General features: G+C 46.3%; 1 annotated feature.

Moving 5' to 3' along the window:
• Positions 15735-16383: an enhancer, noted in NCBI's record as "H3K27ac-H3K4me1 hESC enhancer chr11:75092225-75092873 (GRCh37/hg19 assembly coordinates)". NCBI's record gives its function as "activates a minimal SCP1, AML or CMV promoter by ChIP-STARR-seq in naive H9 embryonic stem cells {active_cell/tissue: H9 hESC(naive)}" and the evidence as "EXISTENCE:reporter gene assay evidence [ECO:0000049][PMID:30033119]".

Raw genomic sequence — 20467 nt, 5'->3', positions numbered from 1 at the left:
GAACTCCTAACCTTGTGATCCGCCCACCTCGGCCTCCAAAAGTGCTGGGATTACAGGCGTGAGCCACCGCACCCAGCCAACAGTTTTATTTTAAGTTTGAATAGTTTTCTTCATTTAAAAGTCAGGGTATTTCTCTCTAAAACTATTTTAGGTTTTTCTTAAGGATATAGAAATATCTAGCAAAATAGTGAACCCACATTTCTTCATGGGCAGTGCTCTCCTTTCCTGTTACACAAAAAGAGTCTTTCCAAGGTGCCACACTCCCTGGCAGCACCACTCAGTTATTTTCTGGTCCTAGAAGCCATTGGAGTGTTTAACTCCAGCTCTAAAACAACTCTGATGTAAAGTGACCTGTCCTATAATCACGGAATTAACAGAGTTCTGTGGTTGCTGAGCAGAGGGACCAGGGAAGATGACAAAAAGTGGATGGGCGCGGTGGCTCATGCCTGTAATCCCAGCACTTTGGGAGGCCGAGGCAGGTGGATCACCTGAGGTCGTGAGTTTGAGACCAGCCTGGCCAGCATAGTGAAACCCCATCTCTACTAAAAATACAAAAATTAGCCTAGTGTGGTGGTGCACGCCTGTAATCCCAGCTACTTGGGAGGCTGAGGCATGAGAGTCACTTGAACCCGAGAGGTGGAATTGCAGTAAGCCATGGTCAAAGCCACTGCCCTCCAGTCTGGGTGACAGAGCGAGACCCCGTCTCAAAGAAAAAAAAAGAAAAGAAAGGAAAAGAAGTGGATGAACCAAAGAACCAAAGAGATGGTAGCTGTGGATCTATCTTTTTTTTTTTTTTTGAGACAAAGTTTCCCTTTGTTGTCCAGGCTAGAGTGCAGTAGCGCAATCTCGGCTCACTGCAACCTCTGCCTCCTGGGTTCAAGCGATTCTCCTGCCTCAACCTCCCGAGTAGCTGGGATTACAGGCATGCACCACCACTGGCTAATTTTTGTGTTTTTAGTAGAGACAGGGTCTCACCATGTTGGCCAGGCTGGTCTCGAACTCCTGACCTCAGATGATCCACCCACCTCGGCCTCCCAAAGTGCTGGGATTACAGGCGTGAAGCACTGTGCCCAGCAGAAGCCCTAGTTTCTGACTTCAGTTGTGAATGCTTGGCGACAATCCTTACCAAGATGAGGAACCTAGGAATAAGTTGTTTTTCTTCCCCCCCCCACCCCCCATCCATCTGTTATCTCTCTCTGCTCTTCATGTGCCTCTTCATCCAACTCCTTGGTCTGTCTATAGAGTGGGGCCAGGTTGCTGAAAACATGAGCCTGGTAAATCCACCTGCCTATGGATTCACTAGAGATGTGGGCGCTGAGGGAGAGCACCTGGCCTTGCGTGCTGGGATCAGAGTAAAATCACAGCAGGCTCCTAGACCCTCTCAGTGAATCGCTTCTATTTTTCATTCCCATATGCCTCACATTCTCCCACGGTCCCTATTATAATCTTTGACAAAGCTAGAACCCCAGAACCTCCTCCTCACTTTCAATAGTCAACCTCCCTCCTAGTCCCTTGCCCCCCTAATAGATTGCACAACCAGAAACTGCCTCCCGCCCATCCTATAATCCCATGTGTCCCTGGCTATCCTTTCCTCCTTCCTTCCTGGCTTAGGAAAGAGACCCTCTTTCTTCCCAAGGCCAGCCTTCCCATTGTGTTCTGGTCCCAGTTTAGTTCTGTTTCCTTAAGACCTTGCTCTAGCAATCATTCTCCCCGTTGCCCATGGTAATCTCACTTCATACTGACTCTTTCCCTTCCCTGCTGCCCGCATGTTAAATACACCACTTCTTCAGGGTTTTGCCTCCTCTCATTGCTTTGATAGCGTTCTGTGCATCCCCTCCTGTGACACTCAGCTCACTGGGTTGGAATGGTCTATGTGTTTCTCTCAGTAGACTGTAGGTTCTGTAAGAGCCTGGACTGAGCCTATTTTATTCATTCTATTCAGAGCTTGGATCTGGACAGGCTCAGGCCCAGTGTCAGTCAAAGTTTGAAGAGCAAACAAATCAATGCATGGATTCTGGTTTTTAGATAGTTACTCGTAGCGTGGAACTAATATGAATTTGCCTGCACATGCTGTATCTTATTTGGGATGTTCAGAAAACCAAATTCTGGAGGCTCAAAGCTGAGGATCAGACAGTGGCAAGTTCTCTGAGGTAAATGCTTCTTGATGATGTGGTAGCTCATCTGCTGCCCTTCCCCAGGGATGCCAGGAGGCTGCCTGCCTGAGTGTCACCCCCTAGTCCCAGGAGAAAGTCCATGAAGGAAGCCTTTGTCTTGATCATACTGCCCTTCCTTTGTCTAAGACTATTATAAGAAAAAGGCAATATAGTACTCAAAATAATGCTATGAAAACAATAGTAGTTGTGATACACTGAGTTGTAATTAAGAGCAAGGACAGTGAGAGTGCCTTAATCTCTCCCTGGGTATCCAAAATGAAAGCAAGGCTTTATCTGTTCAGCCCACAGAGTCACAGAATTCTCCCTGGGATTGTGAAGAGAGGACTGTGTGTGTCTGAGAAAAATATGGCTTTGTGGCCACACTTGGGCCATGCAGGGGCCCTCTGAGCGTCACAAAGGTACTTTCCTGAAATTCCTGAAAACCAAAGGTGAGATTTGCCCTGGTCAAATGAATACAGCCCACAGTTTCTGGGAACAGTTTGAAAACAGTAGAACCTCATAGAAAGCATTGAATTTACCTGAATCCAAAGGCTGGGCATGGTGGCTCACGCCTGTAATCCCAGCACTTCGGGAGGCCAAGGCAGGCAGATCACTTGAGGCCAGGAGTTTGAGACCAGCCTGGCCAACATGGTGAGACCCCCGTCTCTACTAAAAATACAAAAATTAGTCAGGCATGATGGCAGGCCTATAGTCCCAGCTACTCAGGAGGCTGAGGCACGAGACTCATTTGAGCGCAGGAGGTGGAGTTTGCAGTGAGCCATGATTGCGCCACTGCACTCCAGCCTGGGCAACAGAGTGAGACTCTGTCTCAGGAAAAAAAAAAAAAGGAAAGAAAGAGAGAAAAACTTACCTGAATCCCACTCGATGAGCTTGGCAAAGAAAGAGAATTGAAGTCGTGGGAATAGGGGTGGGTGTGCCTGCCTCACTGCTCCAGAGTGGCTCAGAGGGAGGTGGGAAGACAGAGGAGCTTCTACTGTTCACAGAGAGAGGGTACATGGGTCTCCATTATGGCACCTGTTAAGGGATTGCTGTTCTAGGGCAATAGCGACTATATTCAGTTGTCACTTACTTTAGAGTCTGACACCCCCAGAGAGACACAATGATGTCATTGGATTCTCAGTGTTTTGTTTAAAATTGATCAGTGACTCACTCTGGGTCTCAAATTGAGTCTGCATATTCATAGAAGAATGCTGTCAAATAAATTTGAACAGATCTTTTTTTTTATTGCTTTTGTATCATTGCTTAAAAGACTCACACTTCTGAATACCCCTACTTAAAATAAAAATAAGATTCAGTGTATGGAAGAGTGTGATAAAACAAACATCCTCACTCTGTAGGTGAGGTGTGAATTGGTACTTCCTTTTTGGAGGGCAGCTTGGCAGTATCCACTAAAATTGAAGATGTAGATTCCCTTTGGCCCAGAAAATACATTTCTTTTTATCTACTGCAGAAAAAGACTCACACAATGTACATGGGGTGATTACAAGAATGCTTATTAGAACATTATTAGTAATAGTGAAAAAATAAATTATAAACAGCCAAAAAGCCCTGAAGTAGGAAAATGGTTATGGAATATTATGTAATCACTAAAAAAAAAGAAATAGATCTGTGTACTTGCATGGAAAAAGCATTAAGTAATTCTGCTATGTGAAAAAAAGCAAGATGCAGAAAAATATTACTCTATAATATTTATGTAAAATATAATAAAACATATCTATGCATGTAAATGTATGGAAGGATTTATACTCAACTGATAGAGAACTAAGGTTACCTCTGGGGAATGCAGCAGTATTAGGGGAGGTTAAGGAGCAATTTATGGCTTGACTTTTCTTAAAATATATTGGCTGGGTGCAGTGGCTCACGCCTTTAATCCCTGCACTTGGGGAGGCTGAGGTGGGCAGATTGCTTGAACTCAGGAGTTCGAGACGGGCCTGGGCAAAACTCCATCTCTACAAAAAGATACAAAAATTAGCTGGGCGTGTGGGTCTGTAGTCCTAGCTACTCAGGAGGCTGAGGTGGGAGGATGGCTTGAACCTGGGAGGTGGAGGTTGCAGTGAGCCCAGATCGTGCCTCTGCACTCCAGCCTGGGTGACAGAGCGAGACTCTGTCTCAAAAAACAAAAAAGAAAAAAATATATATATGCATGTGTTACTTGTGAAATGAAAACAAAGAAAAAAGAAAAAAAATGTAAGGAGACACGAACATATATGGATTTCTGATCATGCGACCACTTGTGAAACAATGGGGATGTCTTTTCCTACAACACAAAATGGCATAATCCTTTCTTCTGAAAACTCAGAGTCTCTTTTTTTTAAAAAAAAAACTTTTCATCTACAATGTGATCTATGATAGAAAACTCAGAGTCTCAGGCCAGGAGCTGTGGCTCACGCCTGTAATCCCAGCACTTTGGGAGGCTGAGGTGGATGGATCACCAGAGGTCAGGAGTTCAAGGCCAGCCTGGCCAACATGGTGAAACCCCATCTCTACTAAAAATACAAAATTAGCCGAGTGTGGTGGCACACACCTGTAATCTCAGCTACTCGGGAGGCTGAGGCAGGAGAATTGCTTGAACCTGGGAGGCGGAGGTTGCAGTGAGCCGAGATGGCGCCACTGCACTACAGCCTGGGCGACAGAGCAAGACTCCGTCTCAGGAAAAAAAAAAAAAAAAAAAAAACTCAGAGTCTCTTATTCAGACTATACATTTGTATTATCTTATACCATAGGCACTGACCTCATGGGGCTTTTGAGCACATAAAAATGGCTAGTCTGGATGGAAAAATGCTGTAAGCATAAAATACACACCAGATTTGGAAATACAAAAAGGAATATAATGTCTCATTAATATTTTATATTGATTACATGTTGAAACAATAACACTTTATATATAGGGTTAAATAAAATGTTATTACAATTAAGTTCATCTATTTCTTTTTGCTTTTTGCTACTAGAACATTTAGAATTACAGGTATACCTCAGAGACGTTGCAGGTTTGGCTCCAGACACATCCCAACAAAGTGAGTCACATGAATTTGTTTTGTTTCCCAGTGCATATCAAAGTTATATTTACACTATAGTGCATGTAAAAGTTATATTTGCACCATTGCACACTTAACTGTAGTCTATTAAGTGTGCAATAGCATTATGTCTAAAACCAAAATGTACATATCTTAATTAAAAATACTTTATTGATAAAAAATGCCAATGATCATCTGAGCTTTCAGTGAGTCATAATCTTTTTGCTGGTGGAAGATCTTGCCTTGATGTTGATGGCTGCTGACTGATCAGGGTGGTGGTTGTTGAAGGCTGGGGTGACTGGCAATTCCTTTTTCTTTTTCTTTTTTAGAGACAGTTGATAGCAAACTCACAGTTAAGTTTCATAGTCAGGTGAGTTCCTGGGACCCCACCCTGACCTAGAAGATCAGCTTTATAAGGATGGAAGAGGCAGATTAAGGGAAGTTCAGGATTGCTCCTGGAGGCCTGGAGGCCTGGAGCCAGGGAAGTGAGACCACCACAGCCCCTCACCCACATATACGTGTTCTTTCTCTTCTATAAACTGAGGTCCAAATGGTTTAGTAAATGAGGAGAGGTGAACTCAGTGAGTGCAACCACTTAACTTTGTTCAGGTTTTCCTGAATAAACTGGCTGTGTGGCCACTGGATCCGCACAGTGGGCTGGGATGTGGATTTAAATTCCTGCCTTTGAAGCTGGGCGCGGTGGCTCACGCCTGTAATCCCAGATCTCAGGGAGGCAGAGGCAGGAGGATAGCTTGAGCCCAGGAGTTCGAGACCTGCCTGGGCAATATAGCAAGACCCTGTTCTTCACAAAAAGGAAGAAAAAAAAAAAAAAGACACACAAAAAAATAAGCGTAATTTCCTGCCTTTGGGACTATTCAAGGCACTCCCCCTGATCAATTTTATTTATTTATTTATTTATTTTAGAGACAGGGTTTTGCTATGTTGCCCAGGCTGCTCCCAAACTCCTGGCCTCACGCCATCCTCACACCTCACTCAGCCTCCCAAATAGTTGTGATTACAGGTGTGGCCACTGCTCCCAGCTGTATTCAAAACACTTTTCAGATTGAATGATACTTTGGAGAAACTCTAGGTTTTTTCATTTAGCAAAGCATTACCAAGCACCTCTTCAGTGTGGCGTATGTTTGAGCCCGACAGCCTGGTCTCGCATTCCTGGTCTGGGTTTCTATAGTTACCAGCTAGGCGACCTCAGGTGTGTTATCTGTGCATCAGTTACTTCATCTGTAAAATGTGATGAAAATAATAGTAAACCCACACCCTGGAATAGTTGTAAGAGTAAATGAATTAATACAGGCAAAGTGCTTAGCACATAGTAAAGCATCCGGGATGCAGTGTATTCAATTGGCATTAGTTATTCTTGCTTGGAACCAGTGCCGATGCCAGATCCTAGTGTCACTGAAGAATCTGACTCCGCTGCTGCCTTCCAGGAGCTCAGAGCTGGGAGTGGGGATACAGATAAATGAGTGTGATAGGCATCATAAGGGGCATTACAGTGAGAAGGCGTTGGGGAAGGCAGGGTGTTGGAAAAGATGTCACAGAGTTTCAGTTCTTCAGTGGAGGCTTACAAGAGGCTCAGTTGTTTACCAGAGTAGTGGATGCACCAGGCAGCGTAAATGGGTTGAACACTTTGGGAGCAAGAGAACACCCCTGAATTATGAAAATAGTTTCCTGATTTAAACAATAAAATGCTTTCATTTAAAAATATTGAAAAGAACAAAGAAGGAAATAAAAATGACCCAGGAAAGCCTGGAGATGGTGGCTCACGCCTGTAATCCCAGCACTTTGGGAGGCCAAGGCAGGCAGATCACTTGAGGTCAAGAGTTTGAGACCAGCCTGGCCAACATGGTGAAACCTCGTCTCTAACAAAAATTAGTTGGAAGTGGTGGTGCGTGCCTGTAATCCCAGCTATTCAGGAGGCTGAGGCAGGAGAATCACTCGAACCCAGGAGGTGGAGGTTGCAGCGAGCTGAGATCGCGCCACTGCATTCCAGTCTGGGCGACAGAGCGAGACTCCTTTTGGAAAAAAGAAAAAAGACCCAGGAAAATAAAAATGACACTGTTCTGGTAAGGCAGTGTAAACTACGGGGGCACAAGTTTCCAGATCTCTCCCTAGGTGTCGATACCCACTGTGAGGAGTCAATGTGCACCTGCAATATCACACAAATGGGGGCACCACAATACACCCGGCGGCGAGGGACGCTGGCGCCATGCCTGGAGGGTGGAAAGGGAGTGGGCAGCTCAGGTGGAGGCAGACAGAGGGCAAACTGGAAGCCAGCTCAGTCTATTTCCTATCCCAGTACTGCCACTTACAAGCTTTGTGATCTCAGGCAAGTCACTTAACCTTTCTGAGTCTAAGAGTCTTCATCCATAACATGGAGGAATTATCATTAATTTCATAGAATTTCTATGATTGAATTAAATGGTATCTGTAAAGCATTTAGCTTAGTGCTTAGCACATGGAAAATCCTTGTTAGATGGAATGGGTTAGCATTGCTTTTTTTTTTTTTTTTTTTTTTTTGAGACGGAGTCTCGCTCTGTTGCCCAGGCTGGAGTGCAGTGGCGCGATCTCGGCTCACTGCAAGCTCCGCCTCCCGGGTTCACGCCATTCTCCTGCCTCAGCCTCCCGAGTAGCTAGGACTATAGGCGCCCGCCTCCACGCCCGGCTAAATTTTTTTTGTATTTTTAGTAGAGACGGGGTTTCACCGTGTTAGCCAGGATGGTCTCGATTTCCTGACCTCATGATCCACCCGCCTCGGCCTCCCAAAGTGCTGGGATTATAGGCGTGAGCCACCGCGCCCGGCCGTCATTGCTTTTAATGCAGACAAACAATTTGGCATTTAGGTTTACATTAATCTTCAGTGTTTTTGTTTAGTGAGTCAGTTTCAACAAGTCCTACCCAACACGAACACGTGGCTCATATCTCTGCTCTTAGGGGAAGACCACAAGACACCAGTGCCTTTCATTCTTACACAGAGCAGGCACTATTTCGTTACAGGCAAAAGGACCACACTACCACAACGTAGAGGACAGAGAAAGCTCCTTCAAAGGAAAAATGTGGGAAGAAGTCGGCCACAGATCAGACTGCTGGAACAGAAAGGCCAAGGATGTCCCAGCCCCATCAGGCGTCATGCAGGGGCATGGGACCAGCATCTGTTCTAGAGAGATGGGGCCCAGGAGCAGCTGCAAGGGCCTTCCCAGGGCCAAAAAGGGCCAGGAGCGGGAGGGCAGTTTCAGTGGTCAGCCAGGTAAGAAAGACCAGCTGGACCCTTCTTGAAGCGCTGTTACTGAGCCCAGGTTGAAGACAGGGAACACAGCTGGAATACCCAGAGGCAGTAGGTTTATCTAGTTTAATTTTATTTTCATTTTTTTTTCATCATAAGTTCCGTCTTTGCTATCACTTAATTTTAGGTTTAAAATGCCACCCTTCTTAACTGGCTCTCCCAAAACTGTGCATACTGCGCACTCTGGTGGTCATAACAACCAACTACAGCAACGTGGTCAATTTGTTTCCCAGAAAGGGTTGGGGCTGCTGCTCTCCGCATCCTACCGCCATTACAAACCTGGCCCCCAGCCAAGTGGACACCATTGGTAACCCCATTCAAACTCCATTCAAAGGCCTGAGCATGGAGAACAATACATAGCGGGGGGTGGGCATGCCCCACAGAAACAACAGGCAGGAGACTGGCTTCCCAGGATTTGACTAGTGAAATCCACACATATGGGTCTGAATATACTGTGTGACTCCACTTAAGTAGCTGGAGGACAGGAACAAGAGGCTAACAAGCCAATGCTACCAACTTCCCAGCTTCCTACCCAGAATAAGGCTGTGTGAACAGGCAGCTGGTTAGCTTGGAGGCAAGTGGGGAGGGGAAGAGCCAAGGACTGGCATGCAGCCAAGCTGACCAGGGAGGGACAGGAACCAGGTATGACAGGGAAGAGAGAGCTTTAACTTAGGGGTGAGTGCTGAGGGCTTTCGTAAAGAGAAGCTATTAGAACCATCCAATCTAGTTCAGACCTTGACTCTTGGCCAGGCACGGTGGCTCACACCTATAATCCCAGAACTTTGGGAGGTCAAGGCAGGAGGATGGCTTGAGGCCAGGAGTTCAAGACTAGCCTGGGCAACATAGTGAGATCGTATATCTAAAAATAATAATAATAATAAAAATTAGTCAGGCATGGTGGCCCATGCCTGTAGTCCCAGCTGCTCAGGAGGCTGAGGTGGGGAGATTGCTTGAGCCCAGGAGTTTGAGGATGCAGTGAGCCAAGGTTGTACCACTGCACTTCAGCCTGGGCAACAGAGCAAGACCCTGTCTCTAAAAAAAAAAAAAACAAAAAGCAAGACACACACATACAAAAACCCCAAAACCTGACTCACCAGGCTTGGGAGTCTGAGGTCCTGGCTCCAAGTAACCTCTGCTTAGTTTGGACTTCCCTGGAGAGATGATGGATGTGTTTGCCTCAGGAATGCTGCAAGACCCCACCCAGTCATCAACTTGGGGAGTGTTGGGGAGCCAGAGATCACCTGTAACCCCTTCTTTTAGCTCTTAGTGAGCTCTTCCGCTGGATCTAGAAACGAAATCAACAACAGGCAGATTAACAAGAGAAAAGTATACAAATTTCATTAATTTTACATGTATATGGGGATCTTCGTAAGAGGGTGAAGCATGAAGAAGTGGCCAAAGCAAGAAACTTTTATACTTTTTAGATAGAGTGATACATTTGAGAAGAAATGACAGCACCAAGAAAATCTGGCTATGGGGCAGTAGATTTTCTAGGGAAGTCACTAGGAGATACATGGTAGTGGTGAGCTGTGAACCAAGTGGAAGATAAGGGTTACTGTTAAGTATGTTTATTCAGGTCCATGGTGACTTCCAATTCCCAGTCTCCGTTGATAAGTGTTATTTTCTCTGTCTGGTGTGGAGAAGGGACTCCTCCCAGAGGAATCTTTATTGCTTGCTTCATGTAGCAAGAGACAGGTCAGCTCAGCCTTTCAGAAACTACAATTTCTCCAGTGTTTTCCTCTTGCAATAATCAGTATACCAATCTGGCATATTTCAGGTTGGCGTTGTCTTTTACCCCTTCATGGGGATGTGGAACAATGGATCTTGCCAAGCCTGCTGGGGGGAAATACAGCAGCACAGCTGCTTTGTGGAGTCTGGTATATCCTTAAGGAATGTTGATCCTGCAGTCCTACAACCCAGACGAACCACTCCCAGGTATACAGCCTGAGCCCTGGGATTCAGAGTTGCTCACATTCCACCTCCAAGAATTTGAAGGATGTGTTTTTCTTTTGTGTGTTTAAAGTTATATGCAGAACTTTGAGCAGGGTGTGGTGGCTCATGCCTATAATTCCAGCACTTGGGGAGGCCAAGGTGGGTGGATCACTTGAGGTCAGGAGTTCTAGACCAGCCTGGCCAACATGGCGAAACCCCATCTCTACTAAAAGTACAAAAATTAGCCAGGCGTGGTGGCGTGCGCCTGTAATTCCAGCTACTCAGGAGGCTGAGGCAGGAGAATCGCTTGAACCTGAAAGCCGGAGGTTGCAGTGAGCCGAGTTGGCAGCACTGCACTCTGGCTTGGGTGGCAAAGTGAGACCCCATCTCAAAATAAATAAATAAATAAAATTTTAAAAAGTTATGTAGAACCTTGACATAGGTAGAACTTTTCACTGTAAGTTTAAATAAACTTGCAAAGTCTATAATTTCCAGCACTATTCTTTTTTTTTTTTTTTGAGACGGAGTCTTGCTCTGTCACCCAGGCTGGAGTGTAGTGGCAAGATCTCGGCTCACTGCAAGCTCCGCCTCCCGGGTTCATGCTATTCTCCTGCCTCAGCCTCTCGAGTAGCTAGGACTACAGGCACCCGCCACCACGCCTGGCTAATATTTGTATTTTAGTAGAGGCGGGGTTTCACCATGTTAGCTAGGATGGTCTTGACCTCCTGACCTCACGATCTGCCCGTCTCAGGCTCCCAAAGTGCTGGGATTACAGGCGTGAGCCACCGCACCCGGCCAATTTCCAGCACCATTCTAATGTCAACACTTTAAAGCAGTTAGTCACTTATGAAAATGTATCCATGGGAATATAAATGCCATAGTGATTTGATACCCATAATCATCCACTTTAAAAAATACACAAGAACACAAACAAGCTTTTCTTGAACAGTTGAACATTTTTTATTGTTTCATTTCCTTCTTGAATTTATATTTCCATTCCGCACAACCCTGGGAATGTCTTCGTGCACTCTGGAAAATCCAGAGTTCTCTGTGGAGTTGATCCATGACCTCTTCCCCACTCGCTCCCCTTGCCCAGGGTGGCCGAGTTGACTTCGGTTTGGTCTCACTGGGTAATTTTCCAGGAAGAGCCTGACCAGCGGGATGTTTTCCCAGCCCAGTGACCCATTGAAATTTACTTCCTGGCCAGGCACGGTGACTCACACCTGTAATCCCAGCACTTTGGGAGGCCAAGGCGGGTGGATCACCTGAGGTCAGGAGTTCGAGACCAGCCTGGCCAACATGGTGAAACCCCGTCTCTACTAAAAATACAAAAATTAGCCAGGTGTGGTGGTGTACACCTGTAATCCTAGCTACTCAGGAGGCTGAGGCAGGAGAATCACTTGAGCCTGGGAGGCAGAGGTTGCAGTGAGCTGAGATTGTGCCACTGCACTCCAGCCTGGGCAACGGAGTGAGACTCCAGCTCAAAAAAAAAAAAAAAGGAAATTTCGTTTCTTTCAACTCCCTTTGTTTACTTGTGAAAAAGGTTCTGAGCTAGGACTCTAGCATGCATGCAGGGGCAAGTAACACTCCCCAAACCTACAATTGTTGTTTATACTATTTATTTATTTATTTATTTTTGAGACAGAGTCTCACTCTGTCACCCAGGCTAGAGTGCAGTGGTGTGATCTCGGCTAACTGCAACCTCCGCCTCCCGGGTTCAAGCAACTCTCCTGCCTCAGCCTCCAGAGCAGCTGGGATTACAGGTGTGCACCATGCCTGGCTAATTTTTGTATTTTTAGTAGAGACAGGGTTTTGTCATGTTGGCCAGGCTGGTCTAGAACTCCTGAGCTCAGGTGATCCGCCTGCCTCGGCTTCCCAAAGTGCTGTGACTATAGGTGTGAGCCACCACATCTGGCCTGATTTTTGTTTATATATATATTAAAAAATCAATTCATCTATCAATAGCTACATTTGTTGAGAGTTCATAATGTACTAGGCACTGTTGTAAATACTTTATATACATTATTGCCCCATAATCCTCAGGGTACAGTTTAACTGATCTCTATACTACTAACCTGTTTTACCAAAATCAGGAAACTGCCTTCCGAGACCAAACATCTAGTCCCGTAAATCAAATTACTTATTAACATCCTGGAGTTTAATGGAGTAGGCGCAATATTGCTTTCCAGACATCATCGATAACTCTTCACCAACCAGAAGCCACAATCGGAGAAGAGATACCTAAGACATTTTCGTTATATTGAGACCTGGGACGAGGACATGCCTTAAACTCTAATTTTTTCCTTAAATTCTTTGTATTAAGTGGCTTTCAGCTAAAATCAGCACAGGATGGTAGGTAGTGGAATGAACGCCTTGGGACCCCAAAGTGCTTCAGGATACAGAGTCCCTCCCAGTCACATCAACGAAGATGGGATGTCGCTGAAGAGCGGGAGGGCTGATTGGAAGAGGCGCCGCTAGGGGGCGGCAGAGCACAGCGGAGCCCGTGGGTTGCAGGAGCCGCGCTGTGGTTCCGCAGCAGGAGAGAACCCAGAAGATCCTGGACCCAGGAGGACGCCTCTGATGCCGAGCCTTCGCCCCTGAGCACCCAGCTTCTGTGAAAGGGAAGGAAGACAGGTTCCCAGGAGGGAAGTGTGGCTCTGTCCATCGTGAGCCATATGCGTAATTTCAAGTTTTCTAGTAGCCACTTAAAAAAACAAAAAAAAGTAAAGTAGGCTGGGCCCGGTGGCTCACGCCTGTTATCCCAGCACTTTGGGAGGCCGAGGCGAAGGATCACTTGAGGTCAGGAGTTCGAGACTGGCCGGGGCAACATGGTGAAACTCCGCCTCTACTAAAAATACAAAAATTAGCCGGGCATGGTGGTGCACGCCCATAGTCCCAGCTACTTGGGAGGTCGAGGCAGGAGAATAGCTTGAACTCGGGAGGTGGAGGTTGCAGTGAGCCGAGATCGCACCACTGCACTCCAGCCTGGGCAACAGAGCGAGACTCCATTTCAAAAAGAGAATCATAGAAAAAAATAATGAAACAGGGGCCGGGCGCGTTGGCTCACGCTGTAATCCCAGCACTTTGGGAGGCAGAGGCGGTTGGATCACCTGAGGTCAGGAGTTCAAGACCAGCCTGACCAACATGGTGAAACCCCTTCTCTGCTAAAAATACAAGAATTAGACGGGCATGGTGGTGGACACCTGTAATCTCAGCTGCTCGGGAGGCTGAGGCAGGAGAATCGCTTGAACCCGGGAGGCGGAGGTTGCAGTGAGCGGAGATGGCGCATGGCACTCCAGCCTGGGCAACAAGAGCAAAACTCTGTCTCAAAAAAAAAGAATGGAACAGGTGACTTGAATTGTAATAATATTTCAATCTAACCCCATATATCCAAAAATGTTCTCATTTCAACATGCCATTAATCTAAAAATCATTCAGACACCTTACATTCTTTTTTTGATACTAAGTCTTTGAAATCTGATGTTTTTTGTTTCTTGCCCTTCTCAATTTGGACTACTCACATTTCAAGGGCTCAGTAGCCACTTGTGGCTATTGATAATTTTAGTCAGGTAAGTACCTGCTGCAGGACAAGGGCTTAGGAGGATTTCAGAGCATCCCTGGGAGATGGCTAGGCTCAGGGTTTCTCCTGGCCCTGCCCACAGCCCTGCCAGCCCACACCTCCCCCACACACTTCCTGGACGCTTGCTGTCTCTCTCTTCACCCCTCAGGCCTCCGCCTTGCTACATCAGAGCTGTTTTCTAAAACACAACTTCAGCCGGGCATAGTGGCTCCTGTCTGTAGTCTCAGCTACTCTAGAGGCTGAGGTGGGAGTATCACTTGAACCTAGCAGTTTGAGACCAGCCTATGCAACATAGTGAGACCCCTGTCTCTACAAAACAATTTTAAAATTAGCCAGGCATGGGCCTGGGGTGGTGGCTCATGCCTGTAAATCCTAACATTTTGACAGGCTGAGGTGGGGGGGATCTTTTGAGACAGGCCTGGGCAACATAGTGACACCTTGTCTCTAAATTATATTTAAAAATATATATATACACACATATACACATATATAGTATAGATATACACATATACGTACATGTATAGATATACACATATACGTACGTGTATAGATATACACATATACGTACATGTATAGATATACACATATACACATATATACATATATATGTGTGTATATATATATATAGCACCTGTGATCCCACCTACTGGGGAGGCTGAGGCAGAGAAATCACTTGAGCCCAGGAGTTTGAGGTTACAGTGAGCTATGATCACACCACTGCACTCCAACCTGGGCAACAGAGCAAGATCCTGTCTCAAAAAAATTAAAATATATAATAAAATAACAAATGCAGCTTAGCTTGTCATGCCCCAGATTAGGAAACTTGTGTGGCTACCCCTGTCTCTCTGCTCCCCTCTGGTCTGAGAACAGAGCTATTCAGGATTCAGGAGGTTGGAGAGTTTAGACAACTCAACTTCAAAGACCACAGTGTTGGGAAGGCAACACCACCACCACCACCAACTGGATTCTTGATTCAGTTTCCCACTGGAAAGGCAGATCCAAAAAGAGGTGAGAGCACTGGGCATGGGTGCTCACGCCTGTAATCCCAGCACTCTGGGAGGCCGAGGTGGGAGGGTCACTTGAGGTCAGGGGTTCAAGACCAGCTTGGCCATCATGGTGAAACCCCATCTTTACTAAAAATACAAAAATTAGCCAGGCATGGTGGTGCACGCCTGTAATCCCAGCTGCTTGGGAGGCTGAGGCAGGAGAATCACTTGAACCCAGGAGGCGGAGGTTGCAGTGAGCCAAGATCATGCCACTGCACTCCAGCCTGGGAAACAGGGTGAGACTTTGTCTCTAATAAAAACCAAAAACCAAAAAACAAAAAAAGAGATGAGAACAAGCTCTGGACTCACAAAGCCTGGTGTGGACCCTAGTTGTGTGGCCTTGGGAAGATGGCCTAAAGCTCTCTTTGGATCTCAGTTTTGTCATCTGTAAAATGGGGATAATAAGAGTACTTCTCCAATAAGGTTGGTGTGAGGATTAGATACTTTAATTATAATAGTAAGAGCTAAATAAATGCTAACTTTCTAAAATCTGCATTTGCGTAACAGCATTTCAACACTTTAGGACAATTATTGTTTGGCAACACATATAAACTACTGAGAGCTGTCTCGGCAGCTGTGCTGCCCAGAGATGGACCTGACATCGCTCTGATCAAAACCCTTGTCAGTGGTGCTTGGACTGGGCCGTTATGATATCACCTCCTGTCATCTCCTGCCAAATGGAACCAATGCTCTGCCAACTAAGATTTTTTTTAACAACCTAAAAAAAAGAGGTTATCCATTTAAAAAAACAACTTTTTAAAACAATTCAATTGTTGGCTAATAAATGGCTACCACTTCTTGAGTGCTTGTGAAGTGTCAGGTGTTATTTATTTATTTACTTATTTTGAGACGAAATCTCGCTCTGTTGCCCAGGCTGGAGTGCAGTGGCGCAATCTCGGCTTACTGCAAGCTCTGCCTCCCGGGTTCACGCCATTCTCCTGCCTCAGCCTCCTGAGTAACTGGGACTACAGGTGCCTGCCACCACGCCTGGCTAATTTTTTGGGTATTTTTAGTAGAGACGGGGTTTCACCGTGTTAGCCAGAATGGTCTTCATCTCCTGACCTCGTGATGCACCCGTCCTGCCCATCTCGGCCTCCCAAAGTGCTGGGATTACAAGCGTGAGCCACCATGCCCAGCCAGTGTTTTTTATTTTTTAAACTTGTCTTAGCACATTTAATTCCCACAATGTTATGAATTAGATTCTCTGTTTCACAGAGGAGGAGACAGCGCACAGAGCCAGGAAGGGGTGGAGGTAAGATTAGCTCCAGAGTCTGAGCTCCACCCCATGCCATGTGCCCTGTCCAGCCTCCCAGATGAGCAGCCTCCCGCTGGAAGGCCCAAGCTCCATAGAGCAGCCTGCAAGGGGTTCTTCACCCGCTGCCTGCACCCCACCTTTCCAGCCTCAGCCCCAGACCAACCTCTGCTCTGTGCACACTAGCTCTTCTTTCCCCAGTTGATTTTCAGGCCTCTATGTCTTTGTGGATCCCTTTCCCCTGAGCAGCCTTGTCTACTTTTCACCAGCAAAATCTGTTCCCTCCAACCCTTAGGCCTCACCTTCAAGGCTCTTGCCTCTGTGAAGCCCCTTCAGCTACCCCACCGCCACCCGACCTGCCCTGTTCTCTGGGTCTGTGTTCCAGCTCTTGGTTCAGGCCTCCATGCAGACACCTGTCATGTGACATCACTGTGAGTTATGCTGGAATCCAGTTCCTCATACCAGGGTGTCAGCTTCTGCATGATGACAAGGAGCAAGCCCAGGCCCAAGCTGAGGATCCTGACAGACCGTGGCTTGGTTTCTGGTTCTGCCACCTCCTTTGTGGGTGCCTCGAACAAAATACTTAATTCATTGTGCCTCAGAGGGGTCCTGAGTGTTTTTGGCAATATGTGTAAAGTTCCTGATACACAGTAGATGCTTCATAAATGCTGGTTTCTTATTATCAAAGACAATGACTGTGTTATATTTTTCTCTGAATTTAAAAAAAGCTTCTGTATGATCATAAAATGACATAAACAGTGAATTGATGTGAAAGGCAACTTGGTAATAACCTTGAACATTTTAAATACACTTGCCCTTTGACCCAGCAGTTGCGCTTCTAGTGCTTCCAGGAAATTATCCTGCAAATACATTCCTATAGGTGAGATATTGTATATGCACAAAAATATTCACTATAGCAAAATATTGGAAGCCACCAAAATGTCCAACGCTAGGGAACTGTTCAAAATTGTACTGTGTCCATCAGATGGGATACTATGAATCATGTACAATAATGAGATACCTCTATGTGTATTGGGATAAGCCATTTTCCAGGATTTAAAAAAATTCCAGGTGCAGTGGCTCATGCCTGTAACCCTAGCACTTTCGGGAGGATCATATGAGCCCAGGAGTTCAAGACCAGCCTGGGCAATGTGGCAAAAACCCATCTCTACAGAAAATAGAAAAAAAAATAACTAGCCAGGTGTGGTGGTGCATGCCTATAGTTCCAGCTACTTGGGGGGCTGAGGCAGGAGGATTGCTTGAACCCAGGAGGTTGTGGCTGCAGTGAGGCAAGATCACTGCATTCCAGTCTGGATGACAGGGTAAGACCCTGTCTCATAAAAAAAAAAAAAAAAGAAAGAAAGAAAAGTGCAGAACACTGTGGAAAATGTTACAATTTGTTTAGTTTAGTTTATTTTTTGAGACGGAGTCTTGGAGTCTTGTTCTGTTGCCTGGGCTGGAATGCAGTGGCATGATCTCGGCTCACTGCAACTTCCACCTCCCGGGTTCAAGTGATTCTCATGCCTCAGCTTCCTGAGTAGCTGGGATTACAGGCGCCCACCACCATGCCTGGCTAATTTTTGCATTTTTAGCAGAGATGGGGTTTCAACATGTTGGCCAGGCTGGTCTTGAACTCCTGACCTCAAGTGGTCCGCCCACCTCGGCCTCCCAAAATGCTGGGATTACAGGCATGAGCCACCATGCCTGGTTGACAATTTGTTTAAAAACCAAAAGGAAAGCCTGTACATCCAAGTGCTTATATATGCATTGAATATCTCTGGAAGGAAACACCAGAAACTTCTTTCAGACACGGTCTTTCAATGGGAGCTGGCTTCAGATCTATGGAAAGGAGATTTACTTTTTACTGACTCTTTTTTTTTTTTTTTTTTTTTGAGACAGGGTCTGGCTCTGTTGCTCAGGCTAGAGTGCACTGGTGCAATCACAGATCACTGCAGCCTTGACCTCCTGGGCTCAAGTGATCCTCCCACCTCAGCCTCCCAAGTAGCTGGACTACAAGCATGTGCCACCACATCTGGCTAATTAAAAAAAATTTTAAAGTAAAGATGAGATCTTATTATGTTGCCCAGGCTGGTCTTGAACTCCTGAGCTCAAGCAATCCTCCTGCCTCGGCCTCCCAAAGTGCTGACATTACAGGCGTGAACCACCGTTCCTGGCTCACTGATGATTTTTGACTGTTGTATGATGTGCAGGTATATGAGTTAATAAATTTTAAAAACATAAAAAATAAAAAATGCCCCGTCCGGGAGGTGGGGGGCAGTCCCCGCCTGGCTGCCGCCCCGTCTGGGAGGTGGGGGGCGCCTCTGCCCAGTTGCCCCGTCCGGGAAGTGAGGAGCCCTTCTGCCCGGCCGCCACCCCATCTGGGAGGTGTACCCAACAGCTCATTGAGAACGGGCCATGATGACGCTGGCGGTTTTGTCGAATAGAAAAGGGGGAAATGTGGGGAAAAGAAAGAGAGATCAGATTGTTACTGTGTCTGTGTAGAAAGAAGTAGACATAGGAGACTCCATTTTGTTCTGTACTAAGAAAAATTCTTCTGCCTTGGGATGCTGTTAATCTATAACCTTACCCCCAACCCCGTGCTCTCTGAAACATGTGCTGTGTCCACTCAAGGTTAAATGGATTAAGGGCGGTGCAAGATGTGCTTTGTTAAACAGATGCTTGAAGGCAGCATGCTCGTTAAGAATCATCACCACTCCCTAATCTCAAGTACCCAGGGACACAAACACTGTGGAAGGCGGCAGGGCCCTCTGCCTAGGAAAACCAGAGACCTTTGTTCACATGTTTATCTGCTGACCTTCCCTCCACTATTGTCCTATGACCCTGCCAAATCCCAAGAATGATCAATAAATACTAAAAAAATTAAAAAAAAAAATAAGGCCGGGCACAGTGGCTCACGCCTATAATCCCAGCACTTTGGGAGTCCGAGGCGGGCAGATCACCTGAGGTCAGGAGTTCAAAATCAGCCTGGGCAACATGGTGAAACCCCATCTCTACTGAAAATACAAAATTAGCCGGGCGTGGTGGCACATGCCTGTAATCCCAGCTACTTGGGAGGCTGCGGCAGGAGAATCGCTTGAACCTGGGAGGCCAGGGATGCAGTAAGCCGAGATCGCGCCATTGCATTTCAGCCTGGGCAACAAGAGTAAATCTCTGTCTCACCAAAAATAAATAAAATAAAATAAAAATAAAAATGAACATCCAAAGATATTCGATCTCTACCATTGTAAGGGAAATGCAAATTAAAACAATAAGATGCTACTTTTCGCCTGTCAGATTGCCAGCATTTGAAAGCCTGGTGTCAGTCCTGCCATACCTTGCTGGTGGTAGAGTATAATGGTATAGCTAATTTTTTTTTTTTTTTTTTTGAGACAGCGTCTTGCTCTGTCACCCAGGCTGGAGTGCAGTGGTGTGATCTAGGCTTACTGCAACCTCCACCTCCTGAATTCAAGCGATCTTCTGCCTTAGCCTCCCAAGTAGCTGGGACTATAGGCGCTCGCCACCACACCCGGCTAATTTTTGTATTTTTAGTAGAGATGGGGTTTCACCATATTGGCCAGGCTGGTCTCGAACTCCTGACCTCATGGTCCGCTGGCCTCAGCCTCCCAAAGTGCTGGGATTACAGGTGTGAGCCACCGTGCCCAGCCGATACAGCTAATTTTAAAGCAACTTAGCAGAATCTAGTAGAATACACTGCCCCCATGACCACAGGATCCCATTTTCCAGTGTCAGTTCCAAGCAGAAGATAGAACTCTGTCCCTGCCATGCTCAACATCAGCTCAGCAGCAGCAGCTACCTCTGCATGGGCACGGGGACCAGGCTGTAGGAGCTGGTCCAGAAAGGACGCCTCACCATGCCCAGCTAATTTTTTTTGGTATTTTTTAGTAGAGATGGGGTTTTATTATTTTGGCCAGGCTTGTCTCGAACTCCTGACCTCAAGTGATCCTCCCGCCTCAGCCTCCCAAAGTGCTGGGATTACAGGCATGAGCCACCATGCCCAGCCAACATCTGTGGTAAGTTTAAGAGTCTCTTGCCACAATGGCTTGGGGGTAGGAAGGCAGGTGCGTCAAGGGTATGAGGAGGAGAGTTCTGGGTGCTCTAGTACCCATTGATACTTTGGTCTGGAGAATTCTTTGTTGTGGCGGGGGTATCC

The sequence above is a fragment of the Homo sapiens genome, chromosome 11 (assembly GCF_000001405.40).
Source record: "Homo sapiens chromosome 11, GRCh38.p14 Primary Assembly".
NCBI classification, from domain to species: domain Eukaryota; kingdom Metazoa; phylum Chordata; class Mammalia; order Primates; family Hominidae; genus Homo; species Homo sapiens.
This window is presented reverse-complemented; position numbering and strand designations above follow the sequence as displayed.